General features: G+C 37.6%; 1 protein-coding gene across 32 annotated transcripts in view; it reads right to left on the reverse strand.

The window, feature by feature from the left end:
- ARB2A (ARB2 cotranscriptional regulator A) overlaps nucleotides 1–20,778 on the reverse strand; it is a 493,975-nt gene that overhangs the window by 222,258 nt on the left and 250,939 nt on the right. The gene's annotated exons all lie outside the window — the stretch shown is intronic.

Consider the following 20,778-nt stretch of genomic DNA (forward strand, 5'->3'; position numbering starts at 1 on the left):
GATCATTTGTATGGTTTTTCATGTCTCAATTTCCTTCAGTTCAGCTCTGATTTTGGTTATTTCTTGTCTTCTTTGAGGTAGATTTGCTCCTGCTTCTCTAGTTCCTTGAGGTTAGGTTAATTTGATATCTTTTTAACTTTTTGATGTGGGTATTTAGTGCTATAAAATTCCCTCTTAACACTGCCTTAGCGGTGTCCCAGAAATTCAGGTATGTTGTATCTTTGTTCTCACTAGTTTCAAAGAATTTCTTTATTTCTGACAGCACTCAGTCTTGAAGACAGATTCAAGGCTACATTACTGGTCAATATGGCTACATTAATAAAATTATAAATGGTTATGCACAGAAGACATCTGTAGTGAATATAGCTGACAAACGATAAATATTCAGAACCATATTTAAATATTTGAATTTAGCAGATATTTCACATTTACCATGTCCAAAAGTAAACTCTGAATTGGATTCCCAACACCACAATGTCTATTCTTTCCCAACTTGTTAAGTGGTAACTCCACCCACCTGTTTTTCTCAAGCCAAAAATCTGGAAGTCACCCTTGACATCTTCCTCCTCTTCTATCACCCATATGTATCCAATTTAACTTATCCTTTGACATATTTCTAGAATTCATAAACTTATCTCTACTTCTATTCTTACTACCCTAACACTAACACCATCTCTTGTCTTGGACACTAGACACTTGAACTGGCTACATGCTTTCTCTCATTTGGTTTTTACATTAGATATTATGATGCAGACACTCTGAATATAGCAATTTACAGAGATTAATTAATTAATTAATTTGATCAAGGTCATAAAACCAGTGTGATTGCAAGCCAGTCTGTGTGGTTCTAGTGTTTGAACTTCTATGCTATACTAACTATCCCTTTAAATCATATGTATTAAAGACTAAACAAGTAATTATGGCCCATTATTTACAGACAGGGTGACAAATACTTTGTGATTGGGCCATACTGCCACAAAATGGGTGTGACCTAAAATAGGAGGCATATAGAACTGGTAGGATTCTTAGATTCCAAAACTGGGCTCCACTGTACTCCTGGGAATGTCCATCAAAGTAAACATTGACAATCCTACTCACTTTAATAAAATTTAGGTCTTTTCTTTTAGTGTAATATACAATGCAAGCATAATAATGTTAACTGAAAATGCCTCTGCAGCACATACTGTGACATGTACTGATCTTAAAACAGTCAACTCTCCTTATCTGTCGGTTCTGCATTAGCGGATTCAACCAACCAATGATCAAAAATATTTTTGAAAATATTTTAGAAAAAGAAAGAATGGTAGCATATATACCCAACATGGCCAGACTTTATTTTCTTGTTATCATTCCTTAAATAATACACTATTAACAACTATTTACATAGCATTTACAATATATTAGGTAGTAAAGTAATCCAGAGATGATTTAAAGTCTATGGGAGGATGTGTATAGGCTACATGCAAATACTATGCCATTTTATATAAGTGACTTGAGCATCTGTGGATTTTGGTATCTGAGGCGTGAAGGAGGGGCTGTCCTGAAACCAGTTCCCTATGGATACTGAAGGACAATTATTTATGTCATTTAATCCTATGAATTAGGTACCATTATTGTCCCCATAATCAGATGAACAGGTAAAGAATGATTAGGAAACTAATTATTTGGCAGAGCCAGAATTCAAACCTAGGTAGTCTGAGTTCATACGTGTAATCTTAATCACTTTATATAACCCTGTTAAAACACATTTAATATTCTTCTCTCCATGCAGGCATAACGAGTATTGCTATTCTTTATAGTAATGAATAAAACAGCAAGAGGCCATTAAGACAAAGGGATGCGAGTGTTGCTTATGTATCTAACAGTATTGTGGGCCAGGTTGACATGAAAAAACACCTTCTCTGTGAAAATGAAGGAGTCTGTTTTCTGAAAGTTCAATGTGTCGTTTTCCTTCAATAGCTTCTGACATCATATAAGAGGGACACTGAACCTAGCTTAAAACCTATTATTAATTTTCTGCCATTTATTAATCTAAAACAAAAAAATACAGCTAAGAGAAAGAAGCTAGACACAAAAGACTACATGCAATATGTTTCAATTGTTAGGAAATTCTAGAAAAGCCAAAACTATAATGTTAGAATGGAGGTCAGTGGTCAGCAAGGTCAGGAAATGGGAGGAAGACTTTGGCTGCAAAGGGGCACAAGAGGAAACTTTTTGGGGGTGATGAAAGTAACGGGTTAGAAAACAGTGAGCTGCAAGCTGCCTGCCTGTTTTTGTAAATAACATTTCACTGGAACACAGTCATGTACACTTGTTTATATATCATCTATGGTTGCTTTCACCTCACAACAGTAGAGCTGAGCAATTGGGACAGAGTCAGTCTGGCCTACCAGTCTAAAGTAGTTTAAGAAAAAATTTGTTGATCCTTTCTCTAAATACTTATGATCTCAGTTCCAGCATAGGATGGCAGATTCAAGATCCGTATCTGAGTGGATTATCTCCACAAACCCCCTAAAACTATGGTAAAAGATTTTTTTTAATATAGACATAAATCAGCAAAGACTAGGAGAACAAGGAAGGAAAAAAATGACAACATTTTGGAAGAGAGAGCAGATAGAAGAGTGGTAACTAATTTAGCACATCTGACAAAGTCCAATCTCAAGCTGGCAGTGGGAAAGCTGAGAACCAACTCCATTTACACTGCAGAATCCTCCAAAGCATAGGGACAGGATTCCAGGTATCTCTGGGATTGAAGGAGAGTGACATGTACATGCTAAAATAAGGCTGTTTGAGAAATATTTTCCCATCTTCCATTCCACGTGCTTGGCAAATGTCTTTGCACATCCTGACAGGAGAGGTTTTGAAATGGGGCTATCAGAAACAGTTGGCATCAGCTTCATAAGAAAAAACAGAGATAAAGTGACCATATGCAAACTGAATGTGGAATGTAGTTACCTATCCCAGTTTCATCACCACCATCCCCCAAACCCCCGGGCCTTCATCCCTTCTAAACTTCCCCACTGTTGGCAGTCAGACCCTTAGACTTCAGGCAAAAGACTGGAAGACTTCTTTGGAAAATGAAATCAGGCTAAATAAGACAAAAAGTTCTAAAGATATAGATGGGTGGGAGTGTGCATGGGGGAAAGTTCCCAACAAATAGACTACTCAGATTAATTATAGCGAAGCTCAAACATAGTAAGTCCCACCCAGATGCTTAGAGATTCCAATTACTTTTTAATCCCTACTGATAAATATGAATAGACTGCCAAACATTATTAGACATATGGAAAATGCCTATAAATACAAAATATAGAGTCCTGAACAAATAGACACTTGAAAGAAACGGAAGTTTTGCAGACAGAGAAAAATTTCAAAAACACTTTCATTATTATCTTCAGAGATACTAGTACATGCATAAAAGTAGAACAAGGATACTTTTTTTTTTTTTTTTTTTTTTGAGACAGGGTCTCACTCTGTCACCCAGGCTGGTGTGCAGTGGCATGATCACAACTCGCTGTGAAGCCTTGACCTCCCGGGCTCAAGTGATCCTCCAGCCTTAGCCTCCTGAGTAGCTGGGACTACAGACACGTGCCACCATGCCCCACCATGCCTGGCTAATTTTCAACTGCTTTGTAGAGAGAAGGTCTCACTATGTTACCCAGGCTGGACAAGGGTACTATTAAAAAGAAATATTTGAAGAATAAAAAGAGCTCTTTCAAATTAAAAGCAAAACAGCAGAAGTGAAAAATTCAACAGAAGGGTTAAATGATTAAGTTAAAGAAATCTCCCAGAAGAAGATATGAAAAATAGGAGAGAAAAGTAATAAACCAGGTAAGTCTAGGAGATCCATCATCCAAAAAGCAAAGTTGTATAATGAGAAAACAGAAAAAATAGAAGGCAGGAAATTATCAACAAAATAAGTTTTCCAGGACATTTGCTGATAGATTAAAGTGACTAAAGTACCCAGTATAATGAATGAAATATATATGTATAGAAAGGTACATCACTGCAAAATTTAGAACCCAGGAACAAAGAGAAGATACTACAAGTTTTAAGAAAGAAAAATAAAATTTTAGGATTCAGAACAATTTCGGACTTTTCAATAGCAACAGAGGAAGCAAGATGAGGATAAAAAAACAAAAAAAAAAACAAAAAAAAAACTCTAAAATTCAAAAGCCCAAGCCAGGCACATAGCTCACGCCTGTAATTCCAGCACTTTGGGAGGCCCAGGCGAGTGGACTGCTTGAACTCAGGAGTTCAAGACCAGCCTGGCCAACATGGTGAGATTTCATCTGTACTAACAATACAAAAATTAGCCAGGTGTGGTGGTGCATGCCTGTAGTTTCAGCTACTTGGGAGGCTGAGGTAGGAGGATCATTTGAGTCCAGGAGGTGGAGGCTGCAGTGAGCTGAGATGGGACCACTGCACTCCAGCCTGGGGTAGAGTGAGACTCCATCTCAAAAGAAAAAAAAAATCAAAAGGAAAATAATTTCTAATTTAGAATTCTATACCCAGCCAAAATATCATAAAATATAAATGTAACATAAATGCAGAAAGTAAAAAAATTTGTATCTCATTCCCTTCTTCTAAAGAAACAACTGGGAGATATGGACATTTAAAATAAGAAATAAATCAAGAAAGAGGAAGACATGAAGTATGGAAAACAAGAGAAATAACCTAAGAGAGTAACAGAAGAATAAAGAAAATGCTAAGATGACAGCTGGACACCACATACAGCAGTTAACCAGAAAGGTGATACTAGTGTGATTCAAAAGATAGATATGCTGAGAGTTGTTATCACCAAGACCCTCACTACAACTATATTATCATTTAAGACATAATTACCTAATGAGCCGGACCTGGATTTATATTTGCATTTGGCTTTTCCTAACCACATACTGTTGAGATTCGTGTTGCCCATTCACGCTTTGCTGCAGTATCAGCTGAGGACATTTATTACAACTTATGAAAATGTTGTGTTTTCACTAAACTAGGAGGTACAGGTAGACCATGGAAAGCTTAGAAACAGAAAATACAGAGCAGAAAACTCCCTCTAGCCATATTTCTGATGATTTTGCCTTCCAGATGCTCCAACTATGAAAAGCTGTTTTTCAAAACTACATTGTCCACTGATATCCCTATAAGGGGGATCTTGTAAGTGCTTTGGGAATCTTAAGTCAGATCATGATCCATAGTATCTATTAGCTTATCTTCAACTAGGAGTTTTCATCTAATAGTAGAAATATTTTCCTTTCCTTATACTACCAGGTCTGTGCTCACTGCTTAATGTGTCATAATAAACAACATGCTATTTAGGAGTACATATAGTTAACATACAGGCTCCAGGGATTAAGATTTGAATCTTTGGAGCCATTATTCTCCCTACCACAATAACCTAGCAAGAACCCTGGGAGAAGGTCCCAAAATGTTGCCAGGATTTTTCTTAGAAGCTTGAAGAAAGTAATGGCCTATACTAAGTGAAGATCTCAGCTGTCATTCATCAGAGAGTAATCTGTCACAGAAGAGGCAGTAAAAAACCAAGAAGGCAGAATGACTCAGCCAGTTTATATTTGTTGGACTCCATCACTAACTTGTGCTGGCACAATCAGAGTATGACCAAAAAAGCCATAATGGCAAGGATGCAGGATATACACAGGCCCACAAACATGAATGTATCTTGCTCACCAAGACTGATCTGGCTACTGCCACTTAATGAATACTAGAGCAGACTGAGAGGCAAAAGAAACACCTTTGGAACGTGAGTGTCTGTGTCTGTGTGTGTTGGAGGGGGCGTAAGATTAAGTGTTCCAGACAGTTCAATCTAGAACATCCTATAGACAAAATGGTATAGTCAGAAGCTAAACATGCCTTATAGTATTGCTATCTGAATCTAAAGCTATAATTATAGCTGTAGAGGAAATGAGTAAACTGTCTCCAAAGAATTAATGATTAATTTAGCAACTTTGGGATGATCATTTACAATTGCCAGAGAACATATTTTCTCTCTCTCTCTCTGTGACACACACACACACACACACACACACACACACACACAATCACACAACCAGACAGTGCTACTTAATTAGCTTTGTGACTTTGACTTACCATCTTAGATGTTCAAACTCTGTATTTGTCCATGAGAGTCCTGGGAGACCTCTAAAGTTCTATCTTTTTCTGATAAGATAAGGAAAGCAAAGCTTTGGAAACAAAGAGAAGAGTTGCTATCTAAAGGGAGGCTGGGCCCAGTGTGGTGGCTCATGCCTGTAATCCCAGCCCTTTAGGAGACTGAGTAGGGAGGATCACCTGAGCCCAGGAGTTTGAGACCAGCGTGGGTAACATAGTGAGACCCTGTCTCTAAAAAAAAAAAAAATTAGCCAGGTGTAGTGGCATGTGCCTGTAGTCTTTGCTCACTGGGAGGCTGAGGTGGGAGAATTGCTTGAGCCCAGGAATTCCAGGCTGCAGAGAGCTATGATTGTGTCACTGCACTCCAGCCTGGGCAACAGAGCAAGACCATGTCTCTAAAAAAATAATAATAATAAAAATAAAACAACGACTGGAGAAATGCAAAATAAGAAGCCTGGCAAACAGCACATAATAAATATTTGATTTCTTTTGGGCTACATCACAAAGGTGTAATTAAGTTATTTATATACTTGCTATAATTTAGTCATAAACTAAAAACATCTTGAAAATATACTTATTAATATTATAATATTACTTCAAAAACATGTTTAATTTAAAAATACTTTATTGCTAAAAACTGCTAACGATCATCTGAACCTTCACTGAACTACAATCTTTTTGTCAGTGAAGGGTCTTGCCTCAATGTTGATGGCTGCTGACTGATCAGGGAGGTGGTTGCTGAAAGTTGAAGTGATGGAAGAAATTTCTTGAAATAAGACAACGATATTTGCCTCATTTATTGACTCACCCTTCCATGAAAGATTTCTCTGTAGTATGAACCATTGTTTGATCGCATTTTACCCACAGTAGAACTTCTTTCAAAGCTAGAGTCAATCCTCTAAAACCTGTCCTTGTATCAATTAAGTTTACGTAATATTTGTAATCCTTTGTTGTCATTTCAACAGTGTTCACAGCATCTTCAGCAGGGGTAGTTTCTATCTTATACAACCACTTTCTCTGCTCATCTGTAAGAGGCAACTCCTCATTCATTCAAGTTTGATCATGAGATTGCAGCAATTCAGTCACATCTTGAGGCTCCATTTCTAATTCTAGTTCTCTTGCTGTTTCCACCTCATCTGCAGTTCCTTCCTCCACTGAAGTCTAGCAAAGCTAGATTTCTTAACATATAAACAATTCAACTGAAAAACGTAATATATTTTAGTAAAATAACAAACCAGTATATTTTATCAGCAGTTCTGATTTTAGAATAAGGGCACACCAAATGTTTCCTTTATTGTCCATCACAAAATGCAGAGAGAACTTTACCATTCTATTTAAAAAATTTCTCATGTATAGCAAACATATCCTAGTTTACAAAGTTTTAAAATATTTGAAAAAATAAGAAAAATAATTATATTTATTTTGATCTGTTGAAAACACTGCATATACTAAAATATAAAATTGTTAATATAAAATTAAGGGGAGGGACTATATCTTGTTACTACTAATTATTATACTAATTATAGCAGCTAACATTTATCAGGTAGTTGCTACTTACCAGCTTTGGATCAAGCACTTTACAGGTATTACGTACATATATTACATGTATTATGAATTAACATGTATTAAACTACTACTATGGTTCCCATTGTATGGATGAAGCACAGAAAGGTTGAATCACTTATTCCAGGCTAAAATAGCTAATTAGTGCAATTCAGGATTATAGCATGGGAAGTCTGAATTAAAAATGCCTACTTTTAATCCCTGTGCTATGCTAACTCACCCTTCGATTTTTCTATCCTCCATAGCACCTTGCAGTTCACACAAAGGCCTGCGGTTTTAACTTGTACTTAAATGCATTGTTAAGAAATGTTATTTAAAACAGTCTGAAGACTTCCTCAAAGAGTTATAACACACTTATTTAACTTCTGTTAATAACATTACAAAATCATCGAAACTGAAATTAAATATCCAAATTTTTTAAAAAAGAGAGATGGTGCCAGGTACAGTGGCTCATGCCTGTAATCCCAGCACTGTGGGAGGCCAAGGCAGGTGGATCACAAGGTCAAGAGATTGAGACCATCCTGGTCAACATGGTGAAACCCCGTCTCTACTGAAAATACAAAAATTAGCTGAGTGTGGTAGTGCATGCCTGTAGTCCCAGCTACTCAGGAGGCTGAGGCAGGAGAATCACTTGAACCCGGGAGGCGGAGGTTGCAGTGAGCTGAGATCGTGCCACTGCACTCTAGCTTGGCGACAGAGCGAGACTCTGTCTAAAGATTAAAAAAAAAAAAAAAGAAAAAGAGATATTGACTGATACGTCCAATAAATGAATTCTAGAAATTCTAGAACCTCTACTACCTTGCTTTCCTTTTTAAGATTAAAATATTATTTTCTTCTTCTCTTTGGAACCACTAATCAAACCATAAATATTTTCACTGTAGAATATGTGCTTATTTGAGCCTAAATTCACAAATAAGGATTCTGACCATTGCAATCACTTCATATAATAAAATGTGACTAAGTATCAGATTACTCATATATAAAATATTTTGAACTGAAAAGATGAATGATAAATAAAACTGTAATCATTTTAGGAAACTAGGCAATCTCAATTTTAGGATAACAGAACAAAGGGCTTCAAAGAATTCTCATATGCTATAAAGATTGTTGGGAGTAGACTGTCACATAGTGACCTTGCTGGCGTCTAACATACCTAACAGTATTTGGAAGTGCATTGTTTCAAATCAATAACTAATTAACAAAGTACAAAAGAAGTTGCACAGTTTCCTTAGCTCCTTGTTAAAAATGGCTTTTGGCAGCACATGGGCAGAAAGGTCGCTTTTATGACATCTCCAGGAGCCTTTCAACACCCTGCCTCTGTCAGATTAAATTACTTTTAGCAATTAATTGTCATAAGTTAAAACAGAAGCACATTTGTTACAGCAGGCTGTCATAATGACATGGTGAGGAGTTGTTTTGATATGAATTTCTTCCACTGACCTTCTATCATATCTTAATTTTTGTGGTTGACCTAACTGGAAGATTGGGAGCACGTCGTAGCTCAAAAATCACAGGCCAAACCTTGGGGGTCTTAGGATAGGATACCAACAAATAATTGAAAAAAAATTTCCACAGATACTTCTGAAAAGCAGTTTATGAAACAAAGGACTGTGTAACTTGAAAATTAATTTTAAAACAAAATTATTCCTAACATAAAAATACAGAATGTAAAAAGAAAAATTTTCTACTGAGTTCAAAAGATGAGATTATTATTGCATTGTACTAAAGTTAAGCACCTAGAAATAGTATGCTATGAGGAAATATTAAATAATTTTAAAATGTGAATTTCAGGAAGAATACACACACACACACGCAGGATACATATCTTCTACTTGATGAATATTCTGTTTAAACCTCCATAACTCTGTACAATCAGTTACCAATAATTATTCCTTATCAAATAATTTTCTTTATAAATCTGAGTATGAATAAGACTGAAAAAAATCCCCTTCTAATTGAGGAATATAATACTTTGGTGAATCCAGTAATAGATCAGATAGTATTTTCAAAAGTGACTGACATATGCAAATTTTTGTCCCAAAGGTAAAATATTTTTATAGTTGATTTTTCTTCCTATTGCTATGAATCTGCTACATTATTTAGCTATTTTAAAATTTAAGAGAATGTCACAGAGGATGAAAAAAATACTGGGTGAAAATTAGGCCAGCTCAAAAGGATAAGGAAAATGAAAAAACATGAGATTTTCAAGAAATCCTAAACCCATGAAAAGTGATAACAGCAGCCAATATTTTTCAAGTGCTTACTCTGTATTTGATATTGTGCAAAATGCTTAGTATGTTCTAATTAATTTAATCCTCATGGTACCCTGAGCAGTCGTTACAATTATTATCTACTTTTTATAGATAAGCCAACTGATACTTGAGGACTTTAATTCATTTGCCCAACATAATATAGCTAATGGAGTTTAACTTCAGATCCCATGATCTTAAATTAACCCTACAGTAATTTTTATATAAGTAACCACATACATACAAATGTGTGCATGTATGTGTGTGCACGTATATGTCCAAGAAAGTCTTTCTAGTTGTAAAAATAGATCTTAGGCCTAAAACATGACTATTCCTGGAAAACTGATATTCAATTATTCCAATTCACAGTATACACTGAGGAAGAGACCAGAGTTATTTATCAATAATTTGGATCTAAGGAGCAGATACAACCAGAGCTTCCAGAACCTTAGCTGTGAGAAGTCATAAGCTTATTGAGAAAGACGTAGGTAGGTGTGCAGGTATGTACAGGGTGGAAGATAACTGACCCTCTCAAATATCTGATGGGATCCTTATTATGATCAGGATGCTGTGAACAGCAGGGGGCCCGTGCACACTGGAGGGCCAGAGAAGCTTGCTCCTGCTGATTAGAGAATGTCACTAAGTCCTCTGCTCTATGGTTGCCTGTGAGCAGTGAAGTTTTTTTATTCTTAACTACATTACAGGGATGTAATGGTGTATTTCTGGAACTCGCCATCAAACTTGTGATGAACATGTTCTAGAAATTAAAATTTAGACTCTTTTTGAAATCATATCTAATGGCTGTTATTTGCAAGTAGCAGAATGGGCAAGATTAATACCATATATATTTAACATTTGGAGTCAATATGAACATTTTTTCATACTGTAACTAACTCAGCAAAATATTCCCTCTAGATATGTTTTGTGAAGGCAACTGTACTGTGGTATGAAATATCCTACTTAAATAAATTTAATCTCCAATATTTACAAGCAAATTTTTAAAATTAAATCAGTATATTTTCTATTAAGTATGTTTACATTAAATATTAGGGATTCTTAGTCATTGATTGGTTCTTCTTCTTTTTATTTTTTTCCCCTCTGAGAGTGTGTTCTCTAAGATTAACACTAAGGGCAAAGTGGAATTCATTCATTTTGTCAGATGGACCCAGTTAAGTATTTTTATATTTCAGGGACTGTTATAGACAGACTGACAGATAAAATGAAACCTGGTATTCCTTTTCCTTTATTAAAACGAGTGAAAATGCTTAGCAAAGTAGCTCATTTTAAGAATAGAAGAATGAATATTTAAATAAAAATTATTTCATTATTTCAGGGAATGACAGAAGTTTAGAAATCATGGCCTCCTGCCTATTTGCATTCCTATGTATTTTACAGAGGAAAAAACCTGGCCCAAGAGGTATGATATGACTTATCCATTATATCTTGCTGGTCATTGTAGTAATTTTGTTGGTTGAAATTTCAGTTCTCATAGAGATATGAACAGCAGCATACGTAACATTGCATGTATTTTTACTTTATTTTATTATTATTATACTTTAAGTTTTAGGGTACATGTGCACAATGTGCAGGTTAGTTACACATGTATACATGTGCCATGCTGGTGTGCTGCACCCATTAACTCGTCATTTAGCATTAGGTATATCTCCTAAAGCTATCCCTCCCCGCTTCCGCCACCCCACAACAGTGCCCAGAGTGTGATGTTCCCCTTCCTGTGTCCATGTGTTCTCACTGTTCAATTCCCACCTATGAGTGAGAATATGTGGTGTTTGGTTTTTTGTTCTTGCGATAGTTTACTGAGAATGATGATTTCCAATTTCATCCATGTCCCTACAAAGGACATGAACTCATCATTTTTTATGGCTGCATAGTATTCCATGGTGTATATATGCCACATTTTCTTAATCCAGTCTATCATTGTTGGACATTTGGGTTGGTTCCAAGTCTTTGCTATTGTGAATAGTGCCGCAATAAACATACAAGTGCATGTGTCTTTATAGCAGCATGATTTATAGTCCTTTGTGTATATACCCAGTAATAGGATGGCTGGGTCAAATGGTATTTCTAGTTCTAGATCCCTGAGGAATCGCCACACTGACTTCCACAAGGGTTGAACCAGTTTACAGTCCCAACAACAGTGTAAAAGTGTTCCTATTTCTCCACATCCTCTCCAGCACCTGTTGTTTCCTGACTTTTTAATGATTGCCATTCTAACTGGTGTGAGATGGTATCTCACTGTGGTTTTGATTTGCATTTCTCTGATGGCCAGTGATGGTGAGCATTTTTTCATGTGTTCTTTGGCTGCATGAATGTCTTCTTTTGAGAAGTGTCTGTTCATATCCTTTGCCCACTTTTTGATGGGGTTGTTTGTTTTTTTCTTGTAAATTTGTTGGAGTTCATTATAGATTCTGGATATTAGCCCTTTGTCAGATGAGTAGATTGCAAAAATTTTCTCCCATTTTGTAGGTTGCCTGTTCACTCTGATGGTAGTTTCCTTTGCTATGCAGAAGCTCTTTAGTTTCACTAGATCCCATTTGTTAATTTTGGCTTTTGTTGCCATTGCTTTTGGTGTTTTAGACATGAAGTCCTTGCCCATGCCTATGTCCTGAATGGTAATGCCTAGGTTTTCTTCTAGGGTTTTTATGGTTTTAGGTCTAACGTTTAAGTCTTTAATCCATCTTGAATTAATTTTTGTATTAGGTGTAAGGAAGGGATCCAGTTTCAGCTTTCTACATATGGCTAGCCAGTTTTCCCAGCACCATTTATTAAATAGGGAATCCTTTCCCTATTGCTTGTTTTTCTCAGGTTTGTCAAAGATCAGATAGTTGTAGATATGCGGCGTTATTTCTGAGGGCTCTGTTCTGTTCCATTGATCTAGTTCTCTGTTTTGGTACCAGTACCATGCTGTTTTGGTTACTGTAGCCTTGTAGTATAGTTTGAAGTCAGGTAGCGTGATGCCTCCCTCTTTGTTCTTTTGGCTTAGGACTGACTTGGCGATGTGGGCTCTTTTTTTGGTTCCATATGAACTTTAAAGTAGTTTTTTTCCAATTCTGTGAAGAAAGTCATTGGTAGCTTGATGGGGATGGCATTGGATCTATAAATTACCTTGGGCAGTATGGCCATTTTCATGATATTGATTCTTCCTACCCATGAGCATGGAATGTTCTTCCATTTGTTTGTATCCTCTTTTATTTCATTGAGCAGTGGTTTGTAGTTCTCCTTGAAGAGGTCCTTCACGTCCCTTGTAAGTTGGATTCCTAGGTATTTTATTCTCTTTGAAGCAATTGTGAATGGGAGTTCACTAATGATTTGGCTCTCTGTTTGTCTGTTATTGGTGTATAAGAATGTTTGTGATTTTTGTACATTGATTTTGTATCCTGAGACTTTGCTGAAGTTGCTTATCAGCTTAAGGAGATTTTGGGCTGAGACAATGGAGTTTTCTAGATATACAATCATGTCATCTGCAAACACGGACAATTTGACTTCCTCTTTTCCTAATTGAATACCCTTTATTTCCTTCTCCTGCCTAATTGCCCTGGCCAGAACTTCCAACACTATGTTGAATAGGAGTGGTGAGAGAGGGCATCCCTGTCTTGTGCCAGTTTTCCAAGGGAATGCTTCCAGTTTTTGCCCATTCAGTATGATATTGGCTGTGGGTTTGTCATAGATAGCTCTTATTATTTTGAGATACATCCCATCAATACCAAATTTATTGAGAGTTTTTAGCATGAAGGGTTGTTGAATGTTGTCAAAGGCCTTTTCTGCATCTATTGAGATAATCATGTGGTTTTTGTCTTTGGCTCTGTTTATATGATGGATTACATAAATTGATTTGCGTATATTGAACCAGCCTTGCATCCCAGGGATGAAGCCCACTTGATCATGGTGGATAAGCTTTTTGATGTGCTGCTGGATTCAGTTTGCCAGTATTTTATTGAGGATTTTTGCATCAATGTTCATCAAGGATATTGGTCTAAAATTCTCTTTTTGGTTGTGTCTCTCCCTGGCTTTGGTATCAGGATGATGCTGGCCTCATAAAATGAGTTAGGGAGGATTCCCTCTTTTTCTATTGATTGGAGTAGTTTCAGAAGGAATGGTACCAGTTCCTCCTTGTACCTCTGGTAGAATTTGGCTCTGAATCCATCTGGTCCTGGACTCTTTTTGGTTGGTAAGCTATTGATTATTGCCACAATTTCAGAGCCTGTTATTGGTCTATTCAGAGATTCAACTTCTTCCTGATTTAGTCTTGGGAGGGTGTATGTGTCGAGAAATTTATCCATTTCTTCTAGATTTTCTAGTTTATTTGCGTAGAGGTGTTTGTAGTATTCTCTGATGGTAGTTTGTATTTCTGTGGGATTGGTGGTGGCATCCCCTTTATCATTTTTATTGCACCTATTTGAGTCTTCTCTCTTTTCTTCTTTATTAGTCTTGCTAGCAGTCTATCAATTTTGTTGATCCTTCAAAAAACCAGCTCCTAGATTCATGAATTTTTTGAAGGGTTTTTTGTGTCTCTATTTCCTTCAGTTCTGCTCTGATTTTAGTTATTTCTTGCCTTCTGCTAGCTTTTGAATGTGTTTGCTCTTGCTTTTCTAGTTATTTTAATTGTGATGTTAGGGTGTCAATTTTGGATCTTTCCTGCTTTCTCTTCTGGGCATTTATTGCTATAAATTTCCCTCTACACACTGCTTTGAATGTGTCCCAGAGATTCTGGAATGTTGTGTCTTTGTTCTCTTTGGTTTCAAAGAACATCTTTATTTCTGCCTTCATTTCGTTTTATGTACCCAGTAGTCATTCAGGAGCAGGTTGTTCAGTTTCCATGTAGTTGAGCAGTTTTGAGTGAGTTTCTTAATCCTGAGTTCTAGTTTGATTGCACTGTGGTCTGAGAGACAGTTTCTTATAATTTCTGTTCTTTTACATTTGCTGAGGAGAGCTTTACTTCCAACTATGTGGTCAATTTTGGAATAGGCATGCTGCAGTGCTGAAAAAAATGTATATTCTGTTGATTTGGGGTGGAGAGTTCTGTAGATGTCTATTAGGTCTGCATGATGCAGAGCTGAGTTCAATTCCTGGGTATCCTTGTTAACTTTCTGTCTTGTTGATATGTCTAATGTTGATAGTGGGGTGTTAAAGTCTCCCATTATTATTGTGTGGGAGTCTAAGTCTCTTTGTAGGTCTCTAAGGACTTGCTTTATGAATCTGGGTGCTCCTGTATTGGGTGCATATATATTTAGGATAGTTAGCTCTTCTTGTTGAATTGATCCCTGTACCATTATGTAATGGCCTTCTCTGGCTCTTTTGATCTTAGTTGGTTTAAAGTCTGTTTTATCAGAGACTAGGATTGCAACCCCTGCCTTTTTTTGTTTTCCATTGGCTTGGTAGATCTTCCTCCATCCTTTTATTTTGAGCCTATGTGTGTCTCTGCATGTGAGATGGGTTTCCTGAATACAGCACACTGATGGGTCTTGACTCTTTATCCAATTTGCCAGTCTGTGTCTTTTAATTGGAGCATTTAGCCCATTTGCATTTAAAGTTAATATTGTTATGTGTGAATTTGATCCTGTCATTATGATGTTAGCTGGTTATTTTGCTCGTTAGTTGATGCAGTTTCTTCCTAGCCTTGATGGTCTTTACAATTTGGCATGATTTTGCAGTGGCTGGTACTGGTTGTTCCTTTCCATGTTTAGTGCTTCCTTCAGGAGCTCTTTTAGGGCAGGCCTGGTGGTGACAAAATCTCTCAGCATTTGCTTCTCTGTAAAGTATTTTATTTCTCCTTCACTTATGAAGCTTAGTTTGGCTGGATATTAAATTCTGGGTTGAAAATTCTTTTCTTTAAGAATGTTGAATATTGGAAAGGACATGCACACCAAGAACCCATCTGTACATCACCATCATCAAAGACCAAAAGTAGATAAAACCACAAAGATGGGGAAAAAACAGAGCAGAAAAACTGGAAACTCTAAAAAGCAGAGCACCTCTCCTCCTTCAAAGGAACGCAGTTCCTCACCAGTAACGGAACAAAGCTGGACAGAGAATGACTTTGATGAGTTGAGAGAAGAAGGCTTCAGATGATCAAACTACTACGAGCTACAGGAGGAAATTCAAACCAAAGACAAAGAAGTTAAAAACTTTGAAAAAAATTTAGCTGAATGTATAACTAGAATAACCAATACAGAGTACAAGCCACTCTCTTCTGGCTTGTAGGGTTTCTGCCAAGAGATCCGCTGTTAGTCTGATGGGCTTCCCTTTGTGGGTAACCCGACCTTTCTCTCTGGCTGCCCTTAACATTATTTCCTTCAACTTTGGTGAATCTGATAATTATGTGTCTTGGAGTTGCTCTTCTCGAGGAGTATCTTTGGGGTGTTCTCTGTATTTCCTGAATCTGAATGTTGGCCTGCCTTGCTAGATTGGGGAAGTTCTCCTGGATAATATCCTGCAGAGTGTTTTCCAACTGGGTTCCATTCTCCCCGTCAGTTTCAGGTACACCAATCAGACGTAGATTTGGTCTTTTCACATAGTCCCATATTTCTTGGAGGCTTTGTTCGTTTCTTTTTATTCTTTTTTCTCTAAACTTCCCTTCTCGCTTCATTTCATTCATTTCATCTTCCATCACTGATAGCCTTTCTTCCAGTTGATCGCATCAGCTCCTGAGGTTTCTGCATTCTTCATGTAGTTCTCGAGCCTTGGCTTTCAGCTCCATCAGCTCCTTTAAGCACTTCTCTGTATTGGTTATTCTAGTTATACATTCAGCTAAATTTTTTTCAAAGTTTTTAACTTCTTTGTCTTTGGTTTGAATTTCCTCCTGTAGCTCGTAGTAGTTTGATCATCTGAAGCCTTCTTCTCTCAACTCATCAAAGTCATTCTCTGTCCAGCTTTGTTCCGTTACTGGTGAGGAACTGCGTTCCTTTGAAGGAGGAGAGGTGCTCTGCTTTTTAGAGTTTCCAGTTTTTCTGCTCTGTTTTTTCCCCATCTTTGTGGTTTTATCTACTTTTGGTCTTTGATGATGGTGATGTACAGATGGGTTCTTGGTGTGCATGTCCTTTCTGTTTGTTAGTTTTCCTTCTAACAGACAGGACCCTCAGCTGCAGGTCTGTTGGAGTTTGCTAGAGGTCCACTCCAGACCCTATTTGCCTGGGTATCAGCAGCGCTGGCTGCAGAACAGCGGATTTTCACGAACCGCGAATGCTGCTGTCTGATCGTTCCTCTGGAAGATTTGTCTCAGAGGAGTACCCGGCTGTGTGAGGTGTCAGTCTGCCCCTACTGGGTGGTGCCTCCCAGTTAGGCTGCTCGGGGGTCAGGAGTCAGGGACCCACTTGAGGAGGCAGTCTGCCCATTCTCAGATCTCAAGTTGCGTGCTGGGAGAACCACTGCTCTCTTCAAAGCTGTCAGACGGGGACATTTAAGTCTGCAGAGGTTACTGCTGTCTTTTTGTTTGTCTGTGCCCTGCCCCCAGAGATGGAGCCTACAGAGGCAGGCAGGCCTCCTTGTGCTGTGGTGGGCTCCACCCAGTTCGAGCTTCCCGACTGTTTTGTTTACCTAAGCAAGCCTGGGCAATGGTGGGCGCCCCTCCCCGAGCCTCGCTGTCACTTTCCAGTTTGATCTCAGACTGCTGGGCTAGAAATCAGCGAGACTCCATGGGCGTAGGACCCTCCGAGCCATGTGCGGGATATAATCTCCTGGTGCGCCGTATTTTAAGCCCGTCGGAAAAGTGCAGTATTAGGGTGGGAGTGACCCGATTTTCCAGGTGCCATCTCTCACCCCTTTCTTTGACTAGGAAAGGGAACTCCCTGACCCCTTGCGCTTCCCGAGTGAGGCAATGCCTCGTCCTGCTTCAGTTCACGCATGGTGCGCTGCACCCACTGTCCTGCGCCCACGGTCTGGCACTCCCTAGTGAGATGAACCCGGTACCTCAGATGGAAATGCAGAAATCACCTGTCTTCTGCGTCGCTCATGCTGGGAGCTGTAGACTGGAGCTGTTCCTATTCGGCCATCTTGGCTGCCCCCACATTACATGTATTTTATAAATCTTTAAAGTGACTTCACATACCTCACTTCTTATTTTCTTTAGTCATACTAATGGCTATGATTTATTACTGCAAAACATCCAAAGCTAAATCAGCAAAGAGAAAAGGCACATAAGGCAAAATCCAGAGGAAACAAGGTACAAACTTCCAAGAATCGTCTCCTGGTAGAGTCACACAAGATGTGCGTAATTGCTCCAGCAACAAATTATGACAACACATGTGAAAAGTTGTGTACCAGGGAAGCTCATTAGAGATTCAGAACCCAGGGTTCTTACTGGAGGCTTGTCACATAGCCACTTCCTACCTAGCACCTTACCAAGAATCCAGACTTCCAGAAGGAAAGCAAGTGTTCAGCAAAGACCACATTGTTTGCACAATCATTTTGGGCCCAATGAGCCATTCTTTGTCAGTTAGGGTTCCAGAAACCTTCCTGAAATCCAAATTCCCAGATGATAATCAAAGGCCAGCTTTGCAGGCAGGCTTTTCTAAGGATAGCCATCTCAGGCCTGCTCACCTCACTTCTTAATTGTCATTACAATCCAATGGAGTAGAGAGGTCCTGGGAGACCACTTATATTCCTCCATCTCCTTTAGCCTTTATCTAATCAATTGGCATATCCTGCCATTCGCCATCTTAACACTGTACTTCTAAACTGACACTCTTAACTACTTCTAGAGCCCATCATCTATTTCAATGGCCTAGGAAGTAAAATTAAGCATATATGCCTGAAGTGACAGCATAAAAAGATTGGCAGTGAGAGGTGAAATATTAAAATGACAAATAATTGTTATGGTTATTTACCTGCTTGCAAATGTAAAAGAATTCTTCTAGAAAAAGAAACACTATAATGTAAAAATGATCATCTTTATAATGTAACATTTTGTTAATATAGACAGAAATTAGGGGAAAGAAGAGGAAAAAGAGGAGAGAGGGAAAAGACTTGTTGGTAGTGGCAGTATAATAGAGCTAAAATTCTAACTTCAAATTAGTGAGTGAGGAAGGAAGAGGATAGAAGATTAAAATGAGACACTTCCAAATACTGCAGGTTCTATAAAATCTCAATAATTATATAAGAATAGCACTGGCACATGTAGATAGACATTTGAAAGGAATAGAACAAAACCCAGGAATAAAGGCAAGAATGTAAGAATTCAATCTGTGTTAAAGGTGGCACTTCAAATCAGTGAAAAAAGAATGTATTATTTTAAAAATGCTATTAGGAAAACTGATTAACCATTTTGAAAAAAATTAATGATGCCTATCCACAAAATAAGCATAAAAACAAATTTCTAGTGGTTAAAACACATATTATTGAAGAAGGATGATCTCTCAAATAAATAGGGTCAGGATAATTATCAATACGGGAAAAAAGGAAATTGGATTCATACCTAACTCCAAACGTAAAAGTTAACTCTAGACAGAATATAAACCTAAATGTGAAAGGAAAAACTCTAAGGCACATGAAAAAAAAAGGAGAATATATTTGTATCACCTAGGCTAGGTAAGGACTTTTTAAATAATATGTTAAAGGATAAACCATATAAAAAAAGATATATTTTCCTATACTAAAATTAAGAATGTTTTAAAATATTTTTAAAAAGACAAGCCAAAGAGTGGAAGAGTGACTTGCAATATGTAAATAACACCTACAAGTCAGTAAAAAAAGATTTTTTCAAAATAACAAAATGAGCATACACATAAATAGGCAATTCACAGATGAGGAATCATAGATGGCCAATGAAAAACGAAAACATATACAACCTAACTAGTAATAAGGAAAATGCTAACTAAAACCACAATATGATACCATATTATAGTATCCAGGCTAGCAAATATTAAACAGTAACGATAACACAAAGATTTGAGAAGGGTGTGAAACAACAGGAATAGCCATGTATGGGTGATCAGAATAAATCATACAACTACTTTGGGAAACAATTTGATATTACCCAGTAAAGCTGACCCAACAATTCTACTAATAAGTATAGATTCTAGAGCACCAGGAGGCATCTGAAGCCCAGGAGGCATGCCTAAGAATGTTCATTAGAATCTTATAGGCCAGGCGCAGTGGCTCACACCTATAATCCCAGCACTTGGGGAGGCTGAGGTGGATGGATCACGAGGTCAGGAGTTTGAGCCCAGCCTGACCAAGATGGTGAAACCCCGTCTCTACTAAAAATACAAAAATTAGCCGGGTGTTGTGGCACACACCTGTAATCCCAGCTACTCAGGAGGCTGAGGCAGGAGAATCACATGAACCCAGGAGGCGGAGCTTGCAGTGAGCCAAGATCGTGCCACTGCACTCCAGCCTGGGCAGCAGAGGGAGACTTCATCTCAAAAAAAATAAAGAATCTTATACTATAATAGCAAAAACATTAGAAAGCAAACCAACAATGTTCATCCACAGTAAAGTGGATAAATGCCATATAGAGGTAAAAATGAATTACTGCTAAACATATAAATGGATGTCGTACACAAAAAAGCAAATTCCAGAAGTAAAAAAAAAATGATAAAAGTAAAGGCAAGCAAAACCAAACAATATAATAAACATGTTATTTAGAAAAATATGCATATTTAGTAAACTATAATGAAAAGGAAAAGAACATTAAGACAAAATTCATACCTCTGAAAGACAGGGAGAAGGATGTGAACACATGTCAATTTTCTATGGTAGTGGTAAGATTGTTTCTTTCTTTTTTTTTTTCTTTTTTTGTTTGAGACAGAGTCTCTCTCTGCCACCCAGGCTGGAGCGCAGTGGCACGATCTCGGCTCACTGCAACCTCTGCCTCCCAGGTTCAAGCAAT

This window comes from Homo sapiens, chromosome 5, assembly GCF_000001405.40.
Source record: "Homo sapiens chromosome 5, GRCh38.p14 Primary Assembly".
NCBI lineage: Eukaryota > Metazoa > Chordata > Mammalia > Primates > Hominidae > Homo > Homo sapiens.